At 44.3% G+C, this 17,924-nt stretch overlaps 1 protein-coding gene across 17 annotated transcripts, besides 2 other annotated features; it reads left to right on the plus strand.

The window, feature by feature from the left end:
• Nucleotides 1-50: an enhancer, noted in NCBI's record as "active region_24240". NCBI's record gives its function as "activates an Ori minimal core promoter by ATAC-STARR-seq in GM12878 lymphoblastoid cells {active_cell/tissue: GM12878}" and the evidence as "EXISTENCE:reporter gene assay evidence [ECO:0000049][PMID:35858748]".
• On the plus strand, nucleotides 14-13,165 carry BTN3A2 (butyrophilin subfamily 3 member A2). 17 transcript variants are annotated; one of them, XM_047418113.1, is made up of 11 exons: nucleotides 14-62; nucleotides 2,835-2,895; nucleotides 3,023-3,112; nucleotides 3,410-3,757; nucleotides 5,167-5,448; nucleotides 7,727-7,942; nucleotides 8,121-8,141; nucleotides 8,232-8,258; nucleotides 9,172-9,218; nucleotides 9,616-9,643; nucleotides 10,360-10,702. In XM_047418113.1, the coding sequence occupies exons 3-9, from the start codon at nucleotides 3,028-3,030 to the stop codon at nucleotides 9,210-9,212; spliced, it is 1,020 nt and encodes a 339-aa protein (XP_047274069.1). In that variant the 5' UTR covers nucleotides 14-62; nucleotides 2,835-2,895; nucleotides 3,023-3,027; the 3' UTR covers nucleotides 9,213-9,218; nucleotides 9,616-9,643; nucleotides 10,360-10,702. The 17 variants fall into 17 exon arrangements, with proteins under 17 accessions (XP_047274069.1, XP_047274070.1, XP_047274075.1 ...); XM_047418114.1 differs by having other exon boundaries at nucleotides 7,742-7,942; NM_001197247.3 differs by having other exon boundaries at nucleotides 43-197; nucleotides 2,820-2,895; nucleotides 3,028-3,112; nucleotides 7,742-7,942; nucleotides 10,360-13,157.
• Nucleotides 17,802-17,891: a silencer, noted in NCBI's record as "silent region_17008". NCBI's record gives its function as "represses an Ori minimal core promoter by ATAC-STARR-seq in GM12878 lymphoblastoid cells {active_cell/tissue: GM12878}" and the evidence as "EXISTENCE:reporter gene assay evidence [ECO:0000049][PMID:35858748]".

A 17,924-nucleotide genomic window follows, 5' to 3' on the forward strand; every position in this document is an offset into this window, starting at 1 on the left:
ATCACCTCTGAGCCAATCAAAAAACTAATTCTTCCAAAGAGCGACTCTTACTGTTTCTCATGGTGAGAAGACAATATTTGCTTTCTCTTTTTCCTTTCTTCCGGATGAGAGGCTAAGCCATAATAGAAAGAATGGAGAATTATTGATTGACCGTCTTTATTCTGTGGGCTCTGATTCTCCAATGGGAATACCAAGGGGTAAGTGCAGGAAATTGATTAGAGCCTGGGCTACAACGCATGGGAGGAGCGGGGCTGAATCGCTGAGAGTGGTGAGTGGGCATGCAGGGAGAGTACTCTCCCAGAGAAAGGGGTGCAGTGCCTGTGTGTGTGTGTGTGTGTGTGTGTGTGTGTGTGTGTGTGTGTACATGTGTACATGTGCACACTCGCACATGCACATATGGGCACGTGGGAAGACGGGAGAAGTACTGCAAAGTATAAGGAACTGCAGAGGTTGGGATTTAGTGGAAGGAAAGGGAGACAACATGAATGAAGAAATATTCCAACTGCATGTTCTTAACGTATTGTGGTCAGAAAAGGGCAAACAAACAAACAAACAAAAAACCCTTAAAATCTGTTCTGGCCAACTCAAGGCATCTATTCTGAGAAATTCTGAAGAAGAAGAAGAAAAAAGAGATGTGCCTCATAGATTTATATGTAAATGTGTTTATTACAGAAGTATTTATAATATAGTAAAATCTGAACCAACATACATATTCAACAGGTGGGGAATAGACAAACAATGCATGGTTCAGTCATAAAACATGTTCCATGTAACCATTAGGAATCATAATTTTAATTAAGTGAAATTCTTTATAATTTTAATAACACTGGATCCTTATATTAAACCATTTTTGGTATCTTTTAGGGATAGTACTTGGTTTTCTTTCCATTCATCATTTCCCCAAAACCTAAAGCATGATTTCCCATGGTTACAAGCTACTACATTGTATGAATATATAATTATTGGGAGTCTCTGTGAGCCTACTCTGACTCAGAAAGCCGCTCCTAAAGAAGAAAAAAGAACAAACAAACAAATAAAAAACCCGAATTATTTTTAAAACTCTTTATTTTGGATTTTTCAGTTTCTACATTTTGTTACTGTAGATTTTACTAGATTGAACAGCCTTATCCATAAATATTTGCATCAATCTCTAAATTTTTTTCTTCAACACTAACTTTTATAGTTGGAATTTTGGGGGCAAATAATACAACATTTTAAAGGCACTTGCCATGTGTACATGGCCAAATGCTTCCAGAAACATTTCCACTTCCATTAGCAAAGTATATAACTACAGAGTATTTAAGGTTTTATTCCTTTATATTTTTTTCTTTGGCAAAATTGTCTATAGTAGAAAGAATGAATAATAAATAACCTAAAAAATAAAAGTTCTCCCTCTGAGGACAGCAGAGAAATTTTTAGCTTAGCTTAATAATACCTCCTTCTCCTTAGGAGAATAAAGAGCAGTTTCGAGGAGCAGAAGATGTGGTGAAATATAATGTTTAGTCTGATGGTGGATGCAAGATCCAGGCAGGGGTGGAGCATGACCAGCTGCACAGACCTCTGTTCCCTTGCTTCCTCTACATCTCTCCCCACCTCCATCTGCAGACCTTGTTCTCAGAGGCCATTCCCAGACCCACAGCAGCTGGTATGATGGCTGCAGGCCTCATGCTCCTTTGTTTTGGGAGAAACTGTTGAGGAGTTAGTATTTACTGAGCAGCTAATATGTTCCAGTCACTATTATTCCTCATAATAATTAGTTATTAACTAATACATGAAAATTTTAAACTTAAAGCATTCCAATAATTTTAAAAGTAAAGGAAGCAAAAGGCCAAAGCGTCCTTTCACTCACTTAACCTCCAATTTTCAGTTTAGCATCCATCATTTTAGACTTTTTCAGGCATTTACATATATAGTTATGCAGAAATGTATAGCTTTGCTTTTGTTTTTCAATTGAATCATTAGTATAGTTCTGCAAGGTGCTTTTTAATCACTTAGTATATCTCCATTATCCAGGCTAGTGACATTAAATCACTCTTTTTAACTGCTGCATTGAATTTCCTCCTAGGGATGAGCCATCATTCCTCTAACCAGTCTCTTGTGAGTGGCTGGTTCAGTTGGTAACCACTTTTATACTTTAAAAATAGTGCTGCAGTGTCATTCCCACAGAGGCTTCTCTCTGCACCCATGCGAGTACTTCGCTGAAGTAACCATCAGGAAGTGGAATTGCTGGGCCAATTGTGAACATTCTAAGTCTCATACTCGATATTTTTGAGTAACTAAAGTTGAAATGGTTTTGTCCCATGACTGAGATCATCAAGCTTGTGACTTGTAGAGCCTTTACCTATTGTCTACCCTCTTTGTGTTCCTAACTCTACCATAGTGGGTCCAGCCCATTGTGGGTGCTCAGTAAATATTTGTTGAATAACTTTATGAAGGGAAGAAAGAAAAGATGAGTAAAGCCTGGTCTTATTCAAAGCTCTCCTAATCAATATCTTTGTGATTAAACGTGGTGGGTTCAGCCCCTGACTGACTTCAGAGCCTCTGCCAGGCAGTCTGCCTGGATCCCACCAGGAGCCACCAGGCCATAAGTTGACTGTAGTAATGGCCAAGAGTTTGACGCTTGAGGAGTCCATAGTGTTGGACACCCACAGAGCTGAACAAGGGTGGGACCAGGGAATCCAGTGAAGAGGGTCCTTCATGAATCAGAGGGGGATGATGGAAGCTTGGACCTGGCAAGGGAAGTGTGGGGAAGTGATAGGATTATGAATATTTTAATATTTTAATGCAGTAGAGTCAGAGATGTCCTGATCAGATAACAGATATTATTTTTACAGATGGTTTTCCATACTGGAACCCAAAGGTAAAGACACTCAAGGACAGACATTTTTGGCAGAGGTAAGATCTTCTTCGGTCACCATATTTGAGTTAGCCCTGGGGAAGTGGACATTTCCATGCAGAATCCTAAAGCTTCTTCCAGGCCATAGTGTCTGTCCCACACCTTCTGGTATCTCTTGATATGCAGCATAGATGAAAATGGCAAGTTCCCTGGCTTTCCTTCTGCTCAACTTTCATGTCTCCCTCCTCTTGGTCCAGCTGCTCACTCCTTGCTCAGGTAGGGAATGATTCCATGATTCCACATTTATGTTTCTGAAGCAGACAATTATCTCAATTACCTAATTAAGCAGACAATTACCTAAATGCCCTCTTAGAACCTTTAACTCATTCCCATACCTGGAAGTCCATCCCAACCTGAAGGATCACCTGTCACAAAGAGACAAATGGTCCTTCTGTTAGGATTGTGTTCCCCTCTAGGTTCTCTGTATCTCGCCTTCCCTGTCTGAGAAGGACCCTTCCTCTCATGACCCCAACTCCAAAACCCTCTGATGGAGCTTCCCCCTTGTGCTGACAGCTCAGTTTTCTGTGCTTGGACCCTCTGGGCCCATCCTGGCCATGGTGGGTGAAGACGCTGATCTGCCCTGTCACCTGTTCCCGACCATGAGTGCAGAGACCATGGAGCTGAAGTGGGTAAGTTCCAGCCTAAGGCAGGTGGTGAACGTGTATGCAGATGGAAAGGAAGTGGAAGACAGGCAGAGTGCACCGTATCGAGGGAGAACTTCGATTCTGCGGGATGGCATCACTGCAGGGAAGGCTGCTCTCCGAATACACAACGTCACAGCCTCTGACAGTGGAAAGTACTTGTGTTATTTCCAAGATGGTGACTTCTATGAAAAAGCCCTGGTGGAGCTGAAGGTTGCAGGTGAGCCTCCAGGTTTTGTTCTGAGAACATTTCTCTGTAGGATCTAGAGCAGATGCAGAGTCCCTCTTGCAAAAGCACTGCAGACACTCCTGGCTGCTCACTAGCAATTGCCTGCACTGCCTCCCAACTTAGCTTCTCTGAGGCCCTTGAGTAAGACACAGGTTTTCCTTTAGGAAGAATTCCTGCTGTACCCTACATGCTCAAGTAAAGAACTCCTTTCCTCTGGCCACCAGAGATATAAGCGAAGTGAAGGACGAGGGATAGGAAGCATAAGAAACCATCTCTTCAGTGACTGGTACACAGTCATTTTGGTTTAGTTGTGTAACAGATGGCTTCTGTTGTGTCTCCAAGTGCACACTACCATGGGTCCTGGGAGGTGGAATAGTGACTGTATCTGCTGCCAGTGTTCTCCAACTAGCCATCCCCAGGAATACTCCTGTAGTAGAACTAGCTGTATTTCTTACGTGTTGCAGTGAGGAAGAACACACATCATGGGGAGCTGTGGCGGGGTCTCAGTAAGAAGGTGTTAGAGCAGACTTGGTATACAATTTGGGCTTGTGTTAGGGGATTGGGGCCGGGGGAGTTCATAGACTTAGCCCTCTGCTCTGGATGAGATTCCATCAGGAAGGTGTGGGCAGGTTAATTCTGAGTGAGAGCCTTAATCAATCTTATGTAGGAAGAAGGAGACCAGGGTGAGACAAAAGCTGTAATTGATGAAGGGGCAGCAATCCCTCATTGCTGAGGGGGGATGTTTGGTCACTGCTGTGGTTTGGACAATGTTCATGTTTTTCTCTATGCTCACATATGATGTGGGGTGGTATTGTTTTTCCCATGATCCATCATAGTCACAAAGTGCCATTGTCTGTGTTCTGTGAAATTGCTTATGTTCAACAGGATGACACAGAGACCCGGTGTCAGTTTCCATATGTTGGGACAGCTTTTCTCTTTCTCAGTGCAATCCCTTGCCCTGTGGCTGCTGGTTAGGTTTGGTTTAAGGGGATCTCTAGCAGACAATCATAGGAGGAAGAGAAAAGGAAGAAGTCTGGGTGCTTATTCACTGGCTTCCTTACTGCAAGTTACCCTCAGGCTGGCTGCATTGCCTTGCTGAAGGTAACAGCTCCTCTAAAGGAAGTCCTCAATGCATGAATCTCTTCTTTTTTGTGTTCAAAACAGCTTCCTCTCCTCCTCCCTCTGGTAATTGGGGTGGGTGGGAATAGCCCCACTGTTTCTGACCCTGGGATACTGCACTAGCAAATTTAGTTTTCCCCTCATCATGACCACACTTTTGTAAACAGCTCCTGAATGAAATATCTCTTGAATTATCAAATCTGAGCCTGACATTGATTCCCATTGAGACCCTCCCTAATACAGGAGCTATCCAGAATTTAGGCCAAATTATCCTTCCACAGCACTGGGTTCTAATCTTCACGTCGAAGTGAAGGGTTATGAGGATGGAGGGATCCATCTGGAGTGCAGGTCCACCGGCTGGTACCCCCAACCCCAAATACAGTGGAGCAACGCCAAGGGAGAGAACATCCCAGCTGTGGAAGCACCTGTGGTTGCAGATGGAGTGGGCCTATATGAAGTAGCAGCATCTGTGATCATGAGAGGCGGCTCCGGGGAGGGTGTATCCTGCATCATCAGAAATTCCCTCCTCGGCCTGGAAAAGACAGCCAGCATTTCCATCGCAGGTCAGTACCTGCTTGGCCTCAGGTTTTCTGAGCTGAGCTGTGGCAGTTGAATGAAGGGGGATGTGTTAATATCTGTGGTCGACCTGGGTCTCTGCACTGAATATAAGGCCCAAAGCACAGACCTGGAGGCTCCTCTTTGTGCCAGGGGAGCTTCTTTCCTCCATAAAGGTGTTCGTAACACAAACATTTTCTGAACATTTCCTATCTGCCAGAAAGTATGACAGGCAATGGGAATTGGAGGAAAAACATTAAGATAAGCTCCTTATATAATGTGAAATGACAAAATGGTTATATATATATATTTACAAACTCATATCATAGAGAAAGAGCTGATCTCCTTGAATCAGAAGGAGATTCTAAAAACCTAGTAAAAAGTTTTGGCCAGGCATGGTGGCTCACGCCTGTAATCCCAGCACTTTGGGAGGCCGAGGCAGGCAGATCATTGAGGCCAGGAGTTTGAGACCTGCCTGGCCATGGTGAAACTCCATCTCTTCTAAAAATTCAAAAAATTAGCCAGGTGTGGTGGAGTGCACCTCTAATCCCAGCTACTCAGGAGGCTGAGGCACGAGAATCACTTGAACCCAGGAGGCAGACGTTGCAGTGAGTGAGAGCAGACCACTGCACTCCAGCCAGGATTACAGAGCGAGACTCTGTCTCAAAAAATAAATAAAATAAAATAAAATAGAAACCAAGTAAAAAAAATGTTAACAAAGCCCATGAATTATCAATTCACAGAAAAGGAAATAACTCACAAAAGGGTGCTCATTCTCACTCACTGGGTAAACATATGAAATAATTTTTCACTTATGATATTTGCAAAAATCAAAACTGCTTTGGCTTATAATACATGATTCTCATAGGAATGTAGGAAGGCAGTGACTCTCAGTCATTTGCTCATGTAACTTCCTGTATTTTTGATGTGCATTAGGTCAACCTCTGTTGGGGGCTCTATAGCAATATCTATCCAAACTACACACTTATCGATCCAAACTTCCACTTCTAGGAATTTATCTGATAGATAAGCTTGCATTTGTATGAGATGATCCATGTGAAAGGTTTCTGTTTTTCGTTGTGTGTGTGTCTTTTTTTTTTTTAGACAAAGTCTCACTCTATTGCCCAGGCTTGAGTGCAGTGGTGCAATCTCAGCTCGCTGCAGCCTCTGCCTCCCAGGTTCAAGTGATCCTCCTGCCTCAATCTCCCAAGTAGCTGAGATTACAAGCATGTGCCACCACACCCAGCTAATTTTTGTATTTTTAGTAGAGACAAGGTTTTACCATGTTGGCCAGGCTGGTCTCAAACTCCTGACCTCAAGTGATCCACCCGCCTCAGCCTCCTAAAGTGCTGGGATTACAGGCGTGAGCCACTGCAACCGGCCTGTAAAAGGTTTCTTATAGCACTGATTACTATTGCACAAGGTTAGAAACTGTGCAGATGTTCACTGCCAGGGAACTTCCATACAAGGGAATACTGCACAGTTTGTAAAAGGAAAAAGAAGCAATTCTCTCTATACTAATATGGAAAGATCTCCAAGATACACTTTACACAGAAAAAGCAAGATGCAGAGGGACGTGTATAGAATGCTATTTTTAGTTTAAACAAGAGGAAAAATAAGAATATATTTTAATTTACTTTTTTTTAGTTCTCAATTGGGTTAGTTTACATTTTTAAACTTCAACAAGCAATTTTGTAACACTTACTGTACATCAGGCACTTTATAAGTATTAATTCAATTCTTCTAACCTCAGGAAATAGGTATTATCATTACCCTCATTTTACATTAGTAGATTAGGCCACTACAAACAGAGAGGTTATGTAAGTAGTCCAACATCACACTGCTAGTCACATGGGGGAGCCAGCATTGAAACCCATACCCTCTGACTCCACAGGTTATGTTCCTAAGCATCATATTAAGTGGACTAAGAAGTTAATACATGGAGGGAGGGAGGACAGGGTGAATGAGAGAGTTGCGTGACTTTATGTGTATGTAGTTTTGAACGATGTAAATGTGTTACCTATTGAAAAAATATTTAGAAAAAATGTGTATGACTTTGCTCAAGTTACTTTCCATGTGAGAGGCAGACATCTCAAGATAAGTAATAGTAGTAGCTTGTAGTGAGGGTTTACCAAAGTCTTATCTATAGTCCTCTGAGACTTTAGGGAGAGAATCCTTATTTAACCTCATGAGATAGATTCCCCACCCCCGACCTGAGCTGAGCAGCTAAAGCTTGGGGTGCTGCAGGCTGGGGAGGCTGAGCGCACCAGCGCCCATGACCTACAGCTCTCCCCTTCGCAGACCCCTTCTTCAGGAGCGCCCAGCCCTGGATCGCAGCCCTGGCAGGGACCCTGCCTATCTTGCTGCTGCTTCTCGCCGGAGCCAGTTACTTCTTGTGGAGACAACAGAAGGAAATAACTGCTCTGTCCAGTGAGATAGAAAGTGAGCAAGAGATGAAAGAAATGGGATATGCTGCAACAGAGCGGGAAATAAGCCTAAGAGGTATCCAACGCAAGCAGAGAATCTAAGCTCTTGGCTTGCATGCCCCAGCCTGAAAACCTCACCTCTCTCCCCTACCCTGGCACTGCATCATGTTTAAGGTTTATTTCCCGAAACACCAACCTCACCCATAACAGTTCATCTTTTTTTTTTTTTTTTTTTTTTTTTGGTTATTTTCCAGAGAGCCTCCAGGAGGAACTCAGTAAGTTACCATTCCCCCAGAGATCCAGACATGTCTTCCTATCCTCGCTTTGAGCACCTTGATGACTCTTCCCTGTTCATTCCATTGCAGAGAGGAAAAAAATCCAGTACTTGACTCGTGAGTGGCTTTGACATTTTCTCTGAATTCAAATCTGTTACTCTCTCTCTGCTTCATTATTTTCCAGCCCATAAGTCATAGCCCAGGGTTGAAAAGTGGTCTTGGATCCCTTTACCCAGAAAAAGAAAACAAGTGTGGCTCTTTGGAGAAACCACCCAGTGCTTTTTCTCTCTAGAAAAAAAAAAAAAAAAAAAAGAGGTCTTCAATCTCTTTGTACTAGGGGCTACAGACCCTTAAGCTCTAAAAAGCACTGAGGAATATCCAGGGGTACACTTCAAAAGGAAGAGGGAAGAGAAGGATGAGGTGCATTTTCTATGGCAGGAAACTTACTTGTTGTTTCCCATAATCTAGAGGCTGTTGAAAGGAAAACAAGAATGGAAGATTTAAGAAATAAGAAAATCAGAAAAGAGAGAGGGAGGGAGAAAAGTGTGTCTAATAAAGAGGAGTAGCTACAGTGGCTCAGTTGGTACAGATAGATCATAACTGCTTTCAAAAACTAGTCCCTGAAATTGCTCATTAAATTTCCCAAATTCTTTTTAGAGCAAGGTACGAAATGATACAGATTGAGAAGGATGAATCTTGTACTCCTAGGCATACACATATAGACATGGTGACACCTATGCCCAGGTACACATTCAAAACAGATGAGCTGGACCCCATTGGGAAGGAACTCTCACAGTGCCTGCCCTGCCACTAGCGTTCAACCGATGTTCCCAGACTTGATATTAAGAAGAGGTGAAGAAAGAATTGTACCTGAAGATGGAGACCATGGGGAAGGGTGGGATGGTAAAAAAAAAAAAAAAAAAAAAAAAAAAAAAAAAAAAAAAGACTAGATGGATGCAAAAAGAAGGGGAAGGGGCCAACACAGAAAAGGCAGAGTTCTGGTGACACCTCTACCTTTCTTTCATTGTAGGTGGAGAGGAGTCTTCGTCCGATACCAATAAGTCAGCCTGATGCTCTGTAAGTTTGCTGGGTCACATGCCCTGAATATTTCAACTTTTTCTCCACTGTGACCCGTGGATGTTCTCAGCTGGATTAATTAGATCTAATCTAAAGACTCAATTTCTGTGTGGTGGGGGTTCACCTCCGCTTTTCTGGAGCCTCTGAGAAACTCCTGATCCTGCACACCCCCTTGTAAAGCCTGGCCATGCATCCTGCACCCCCCATGACACAGGGAGCCAAGCCTGACATTTTTGAGAAGGTGCCACCTCTGATCCATCAGAGCTGTAGAGGAGGGAAGCTGGACCCTGGAAGAGACTCTAAAGAAAAGGAGAGAAAACATGTAGTGAGAGGAGAATGGAGTGGGAAAAGTACAAAAATACTGACCTTTTTCTTATCTGTGTCTCCTTCCTTTCAGAATGGAAAAATGGCCCTCTTCAAGCCTGGTGAGTAAATCACTGCATGTTCCCTGGACCAACAACCTGAGGGACTATATTCCTTTTTCCTTTTTTCTTCTCCAACTCTTGTGATTTGGAGCAGAAAAGTTCCCTTGACTTCCTTCGTGGGTAGGAAGACGCATAAAGGGTGGAGGTGAAGGGAAGGAGACACACACTGAGTAATACTGCAGGGAGAGTGAGGATGGAAATGCCAAGGAGAGGAGGTGATGCCTGCCCAAAGAACTTTGTCCTTCCCAGGCTTCTCATGCCACCTACTGCCTGTATCTCCTCAAAGGATTTAATGCTTCCAAGCTTTGGCCTCCACATTTTTAGATGATGATTGCAATCTGTTTTTCATGGGGGTTGAGGTGAAGACTGAAGGAATAATGAACATGCTTGGCAGAAACCTAGCAAGAAATAGATGGTGAGCTCAAACTGGGTAGTTGGACAAGGTTTCCAGAAAGAAGGGTTAAGGGAAAGCAACAAGGAAAAGTGCAGTGCCCCCATGGTTCCCAACAGTGGGGAGCTGTCTCCACCCCTAGCCTGGGAGGGCTAAAAAGGGGAGGCAATTACTGGAACCCAGAGAAAGAGGTAGCTTAACGAGGGAGCTTCCTGAGAAGAGTCCTCGGGCCTTGTTAGAGCACCACCAGCTGCTGCTGGCAGGGAGGAAGCAGGAAATTAAACGGTGTGTATCTCCTTTCTTTCTCCTTCTAATCTTCTATCAGGGCCTCCCATTGGCCAAACACAGCAGCAAACCAGAGGACAAGGGAGCCCAGTGGCACTGTCCATAGAGGACAGATTCCTGGGGTCCAGAAGAGGGTGGAGAAAGCTGAAGGCTGGAGAGTGAATCTAGGGCATATAAGGCCCCACACAGAGCCCAGCACAGAGACGGCCTTGCAGCTATCAGGAAGATGAGGAGCTTCCTTCATGGCCTGCTGTGGGCTGAGTAAATAATATGATTGCCTTCTACAGCGCTAGAGATTCATATGTTTATCCCCATTTTTCAGGTGAGGAAATGCTTCAGATGAGGCTCCACCTTGTTAAATAAATTGGATGTATGGAAAAATAGACTGCAGAAAAGGGGAACTCATTTAGCTCACGAGTGGTCGAGTGAAGATTGAAAATTAACCTCTGAGGGCCAGCACAGCAGCTCATGCCTGTAATCCTAGCACTTTGGAAGGCTGAGGAGGGCGGATCACAAGGTCAGGAGATCAAGACCATCCTGGCTAACACGGTGAAACCCCGTCTCTACTAAAAATACAAAAAATAAAAAATTAGCCGGGCATGGTGACGGGCACCTGTAGTCCCAGCTACTCGGGAGGCTGAGGCAGGAGAATGGCATGAACCCGGAAGGCAGAGCTTGCAGTGAGCCGAGATCACGCCACTGCACTCCAGCCTGGGAGACAGAGCGAGACTCTGTCTCAAGAAAAAAAAAAAAAAAAAAAAAGAAAAGAAAATTAACCTCTGAGTATAAAGCATCAGTGGGCAGAATCAATGTGGGGAGGGAAACAACAAAAATGTAGAAAGAGGATCCTTGTTGCTTCTTGGGGCCGCATCAGGGTATTGGGTTAGGCAGATACTGACCTTACTTTCATTTCCCCTCTGGTCACTAGACCCCTGGGGCTTTCACCAATGACATTGATGAGAGAATCACATTCAGGGCAGGCTAGGGACACGGGGTTCTGGAAGGACCTCCTCAGCATGGCCCAAGCCTTGCATGCTGTGGCTCTTAAATCCAGGAAAAATGGCTGACCCCATGGACACCTCCTCAAACTCTCTGCAGCAGATGTAATTCTGTATCCAGACATGGCAAATGCCATCCTCCTTGTTTCTGAGGACCAGAGGAGTGTACAGCGTGCTGAGGAGCCCCATGACCTACCAGACAACCCTGAGAGATTTGAATGGCGTTACTGTGTGCTTGGCTGTGAAAGCTTCATGTCAGAGAGACACTACTGGGAGGTGGAAGTGGGGGACAGAAAAGAGTGGCATATTGGGGTATGTAGTAAGAACGTGGAGAGGAAAAAAGTTTGGGTCAAAATGACACCGGAGAACGGATACTGGACTATGGGCCTGACTGATGGGAATAAGTATCGGGCTCTCACTGAGCCCAGAACCAACCTGAAACTTCCTGAGCCTCCTAGGAAAGTGGGGGTCATCCTGGACTATGAGACTGGACATATCTCGTTCTACAATGCCACGGATGGATCTCATATCTACACATTTCTGCACGCCTCTTCCTCTGAGCCTCTGTATCCTGTATTCAGAATTTTGACCTTGGAGCCCACTGCCCTGACCGTTTGCCCAATACCAAAAGTAGAGAGTTCCCCCGATCCCGACCTAGTGCCTGATCATTCCCTGGAGATACCACTGACCCCAGGCTTAGCTAATGAAAGTGGGGAGCCTCAGGCTGAAGTAACATCTCTGCTTCTCCCTGCCCAGCCTGGAGCTAAGGGTCTCACCCTCCACAACAGCCAGTCAGAACCATAAAGCTACAGGCACACACTGAAGCACTTTACTGATATTCATTCAATTATTCCATAGGACAGTTGTTTGAGTTTGGTGCCACCTTATTGGCCCCTTTATACAGATAAGGAAACTGGGGTGTAGAAAAGTGTATTGACTTTACAAAGCAGACAGGAATAGTGAACAACAGAGCTGGGATCTGAACAACAATGACTAACATTAATGGAGAATTTAAAACGTTCTGAGTGCTGTGTTATGAGCTTTGGTGGGTGTCACTCCTTTAATCCTCACAACACCCTGTCAGGTAGTCTCATTTGGCAAGTATGGAAGCAGAGGCAGGGCAACATTAAGTAGCTTACATAACTCACACGGTAATTTGTGCAGTTGGGAGATGTTCAGCTTCAGTCCCTGGCCAATTGCCCGTTCTTTTCCAGCCTGATTTTTCCTGCATGGGAAGAGCCCACATGTAGCCCTGAGGTTCCCTTCCCAGGACAGCTCCAGGATCGAGATCACTGTGAGTGGTTGTGGAGTTAAGACCCCTATGGACTCCTTCCCAGCTGATTATCAGAGCCTTAGACCCAGCACTCCTTGGATTGGCTCTGCAGAGTGTCTTGGTTGAGAGAATAACGTTGCAGTTCCCACAGGGCATGTGACTTTGAAAGAGACTAGAGGCCACACTCAGTTAATAATGGGGCACAGATGTGTTCCCACCCAACAAATGTGATAAGTGATCGTGCAGCCAGAGCCAGCCTTCCTTCAGTCAAGGTTTCCAGGCAGAGCAAATACCCTAGAGATTCTCTGTAATATTGGTAATTTGGATGAAGGAAGCTAGAAGAATTACAGGGATGTTTTTAATCCCACTATGGACTCAGTCTCCTGGAAAAGGATCTGTCCACTCCTGGTCATTGGTGGATGTTAAACCCATATTCCTTTCAACTGCTGCCTGCTAGGGAAAACTGCTCCTCATTATCATCACTATTATTGCTCACCACTGTATCCCCTCTACTGGGCAAGTGCTTGTCAAGTTCTAGTTGTTCAATAAATTTGTTAATAATGCTGACTCTTCAACTTGGTTTTTTCTAGACTGTGGTGTCTACTCAGCACAGTAGAGTAGTCTACATACCCACTGTACTCCCCACAGTTTCAGTTTGCCTCACTGCAGCATTTTCACAAAACCCTTATTGGATGCCTCTTCTATTGTTGCCATCTGAATTACCAGAAATTCATAGATTTAAAGCAACACAAATCTATTATCTCACTGTTCTGTAGGTGAGAAGTCCCACAGGGATCTCACCAGGCTATAATCAAGGTGTCTGCAGGCTGGATTCCTTTCTGGAGTCTCTAAGGAAGAATCTATTTCCTTGCTTATTCAGATCGTTGGCAGAATCAGTTCCCTTCATTTACAGGAATGAGGTCCCAGTTGTTTCCTGGTTTATAGCCAGGGACTGTACCCACTTCTAGAGGCTGCCACACTCTGACTCTTAGCTCCCTTCCTCCATCTTCAAAGCAGCAACAGTACATTGAGTCTCCTCTCCTAGTTCTTTTTCTCCATTGTATCATTCTGATTCTTTTACCTTCTCCTTTTTTTCCTTCCTTTTATTTATTTATTTATTTATTGTTGACAGGGATTCGCTCTGTCACCCAGGATGAAGTGCAGTGGCGTGATCTCGGCTCACTGCAAACTGTCCCCTGGGCTCAAGCAATCCACCCACTTCCGCTTCCCAAGTAGCTGAGACCACAGGCCCACATCACCATGCCCCGGTATTTTTTTTGTAGAGACAGGGTCTTGCCATGTTGCCCAGGCTGGTCTCAAACTCCTGAGCTCAAGAAATCTGTCCACCTTGGTCTCCCAAAGTGCTGGGATTATAGGCATGAGCCACGGCACTCAGTCTGCCTTTTACTTTTAAAGACTCCTGTGATTTGACTGAGTCCAACAGACAGTTTAGAATAATCTCTCTAATTTAAGGTCCATAATTTTAATTTTGTGTAACATCCATTTCGCCATGTTATACATTCTATTCATAAGTTTCTTAGTGGATATAACTCAAAGGGTGGGCGGGGGGGGGCACTACTCAGCTCACCACACTGATTTGGGAAGTGATCCCAGGAAACACAAGTGCAGAAATAAATTGAGAAATGAAAGAAAGCCAATTACATGAGAAATGAGATAAAGAGTTCATTCATGAGTCAGTTATCATGTGGAAAACTTGGCTTAATCCCTTTTACGACTCTCTAAGAAACCATATGAAATGTGTGATATAGCTCAGAATCTTCCTAAGGACTACAGGGCCTGCGACTTTATCTCCACTTCCCATCCTCCTTTGCTTGAATTGTTTGAAGATTGGCCTGGGAGTGTTAATTCTAATGTACTTTAAGATTGGGCTATGTAACTGCAGAAAAGCAACTATCATGGGTGTGATAAAGCTCACAGGCAAAGGAGAAGGGAGATACTCACTGGAGGTGGGAAGGTTGTCATCTTTGCAGAAAACTGTGCCTCAGCTATTGGCAAACTGTGATAGGCCAAGAGAATAAGGGATGGGGCATCAACAGCATCAGTTATAAGGGCTCACCTCTGAGAATATAGTGAATGCCTTTCAAGGTCTCTCTGCCCTCCCTGCACCACATTTATTTAGCATTAGTGACCTCTTGTCTTCCAATACATGCCCATATCACATGGCCCTGCAGCCTCACCACATGGACTGGGTCTAGGATGGACACTGACCCAGGCTAGGCCAGAGGACTAAGTGACATGTGGCTAGTTACTCCTGTAACAGATGTGCATGGGAGCTGTGGGAAGAAATGTTCCATTCATGCTGTGGACTAAAGGATGGTGGACTGCAGAGAAGACCAAAGCAGATGAGCAGAGAGAAGGCTCCAAATGGAGAGCTTAGGCAATTTTATCATGTTTGTTTCTTTTAGAAGCCCAATATCATTTCTTCTCTTTGAAAAAATTTGTTGTGTTGAGACAAGGTAAATGTACTAGTTAATATTGCGGCAGTTGTAAAATTTGGAAGCTTACATAAGCATTATAATATGCTCATTGATTCTGTGAGTCAGGAAACTAAAATTTGAACAGGACAAAGTAGAAATGGATTTTCTGTGTGCCAAGATGCCTGTGGATCCCCTCGGAGTACTCCATAGCTGGAGATGACACACCCATATTACTTTCAAAGATTGGAGTTTATTGCACAGCAACAGTGAATCATTGCTCACTCCGGGTCCCGGTTCTTCCAGGATTGGCAGGTACACCATGTCCATAAAGAATCTTTCTGAAGTGACCCTTCCTGTCTCTTTTTCCATCCCAGGACACAGTATGATTGGGTTAGATCATTACTATCTAACCTGGCACACCCCAGTAGAACCTGGTTTCTTGCTAAGCTACCCCATGGCCAAATGATCCTCTTCCTTCTCAGAACACACATGTTTCCCTCCTGCTCAGATGAACTTTGGCAGAGGTTGAGGCCTGGCTTAGCTGGATGCTTCTTGCACAAGCTGCTTCAAAGCCCTGGGTCTTATTTCTTCAAATAAAAATATAAAGTCAGGTCTCATCCTGGGTGGCCATGCTCTTAGACACTTGCATCCTTCTCTTCTGTCCTTTCCCAACAGCTGCCCAGTCCTGGTTGGAATATTCTAATACTGACATAATTACCCTCATTAGCCACTCAACCCAGGATCCAATTTTAATTATAATCCAGAAATATCAGGTGATGAGTGAGGCTTCTGTATGAGAATGGGACAGTTCAAGTGTCAATTCAATAGTAAAAACACTTCTTAGGCCTTTCTTTATCTTATTCTCATCAAAGAGCTTTCTCTGCAGAAGGGACCTACTGGTTCATCCTTCCTGGTCCTTGATCTTCTGATCTAGAGTGGCTTAATAGTGCTGCCACCTCTCTCTCGAACTCTGGTGCCGAATGATTCCAGGAACTGGGCCATCCTGTGGTGGGAATGACCTTACCCTGAGCATGTCACTCATGCATTGAACAACAGCTGAGAGCAGAGCTTAGAGTTGGGCCTTGTAAGGAGAGAAGAATCACATCCTGCAGAAGTCTGTCCTGAGGAACAGGTACTCCAGTCACAGCAAAGACACAGTTGATACCTGGATAACAATAATAGAAGACAGGACATGGGAACAGCAAAAGATATGGGTGTTAGAAGAGGCCGAGAGCACTTCAGGCAGGAGCATTCAGAGTTGTTCTTGGAGGAAGTAGGCACGAAGGCTGGGCAGGATTTCAAGGGGCAAAGATGGAGCAAGCAATTCAAGTGAAAGGCATGGCATGGGAAAGGGAGCGCTGGCCACAGGGAGTGCAACGTTGTGATGCAAGGCCACTGTGGAGCCATTGCTAGTGTATTAACTGCAAAGTTTTGAATTGAATCAGAAGGGAATTGGAGGCCTCTAGACTAAGCATTTATTTGTGTATATTTTATTATTTATTTATTTATTTTGAGGCAGGGTCTCACTTTGTCACCCAGGCTGGAGTGCAGTGGCATGATCTCAGCTCACCCTAACCTCCACCTCCCAGGTTCAAGCCATTCTCCTGCCTCAGCCTCCTGAGTAGCTGGGATTACAGGCATGTGCCACCACACCCAGCTAATTTTTTTTTTTTTTTTTTTTTTGGTAGAGACGGGGTTTCATCATGTTGGCCATGCTGGTCTTGAACTCCTGACTTCAAGTGATCTGCCTGCCTCCTCCTCCCAAAGTGTTGGGATTACAGGTGTGAGCCACTGCACCAGTTCCAGACTAAGTATTTAGACATTTGAGGGGATTATTGACAACTGGGCCTTGGGAAGATTATTCTGGAAGATATCTATACAATGACAAGATTGGATTCTGTGGGGGAGGGATTATGTTCATGGGGAGGAGGTTATGTGTGCTGGTGTGTGTGTGTGGTCCTTGGACTTAACCCCACCACCTACTGGCAGAAGGTCAAGGTCAACTGAAAGTCTTTGCTCACTTCCATCTTCTGCCTCCACCAGAATACCACCTCCCCGTGGGAAAGGGTTTTTAATCCTCACTCAGTATTCTCAGCACGTCTTATCCAATAGCTTTGGAGTGAACAACAAGACCTTCATAACAGCCACTGCAACTGCTGTCACCTTTCCTTTGCTACCCCTCCCACTCCAGCCATGCCTGCTTCCCCCAAGGCCTCCCGCGCACCAGGCCCAACCTTCAAAGCCAGCAACATGAACAAGAGTCCTCTGGCTTTGGAAAGACGGCGGCTTATGTTTTCCTCCTCATGTTTCCTCCCCAGCAAAATCACTCTACATAGAGAGCCCTCTCCTCGTCTACACCAGCAAAGCCACTGACACCTTGGGGATCTCAAGGCTTTGTAAAAGAACGGAAGGAAAGAAAGAAAGAGAGAGAGAGAGAAGGAAAGAAAGAAAGAAAGAAAGAAAGAAAGAAAGAAAGAAAGAAAGAAAGAAAGAAAGAAAGAAAGAGAAAGAAAGAAAGGAAGGAGAAGAGAAGGAAGAGAAAGAGAGAAAGGAAGAGAGAGGAAGGAAGGAAGGAAGAAAAAAGAAAGAAAGCGAGAAAGAAAGAAAGAATAAAGTGAGAGAGAGACATATGAAAGAAAGAAAGAAAGAAAAAGAGAATGAGAAAGGAAAGAAGGAAGCAAGGAAGGAAGGAAGAAAGGAAGGAAGAAAGGAAAATAAAGGAAAAAAGTCTTGCTTCCAAAGACAGAAAAAGGAAATAGAAATACCTAATAATCCCAAAAGGTTATTTGCTGCTTGAGATTTTTGGGGGGTTTTTGTGTGTGTATTCTACCTAGTAACAGCTGAGAAATAAGGCTCGAGACACCATTGGTTGGTTCAGCCTCACTCGGCCAATCCT

This window comes from Homo sapiens, chromosome 6, assembly GCF_000001405.40.
Source record: "Homo sapiens chromosome 6, GRCh38.p14 Primary Assembly".
Lineage (NCBI taxonomy): Eukaryota > Metazoa > Chordata > Mammalia > Primates > Hominidae > Homo > Homo sapiens.

Bases quoted from the DNA above. Each gene is read 5' to 3' on its own strand.
- BTN3A2 (XM_047418113.1), top strand. From the start codon at position 3,028: ATGAAAATGGCAAGTTCCCTGGCTTTCCTTCTGCTCAACTTTCATGTC. The intron at 7,943-8,120 runs GTATCCAACGCA...GTTATTTTCCAG, and splicing joins GCGGGAAATAAGCCTAAGAG to AGAGCCTCCAGGAGGAACTC. The intron at 8,259-9,171 runs GTGAGTGGCTTT...CTTTCATTGTAG, and splicing joins AAAAATCCAGTACTTGACTC to GTGGAGAGGAGTCTTCGTCC.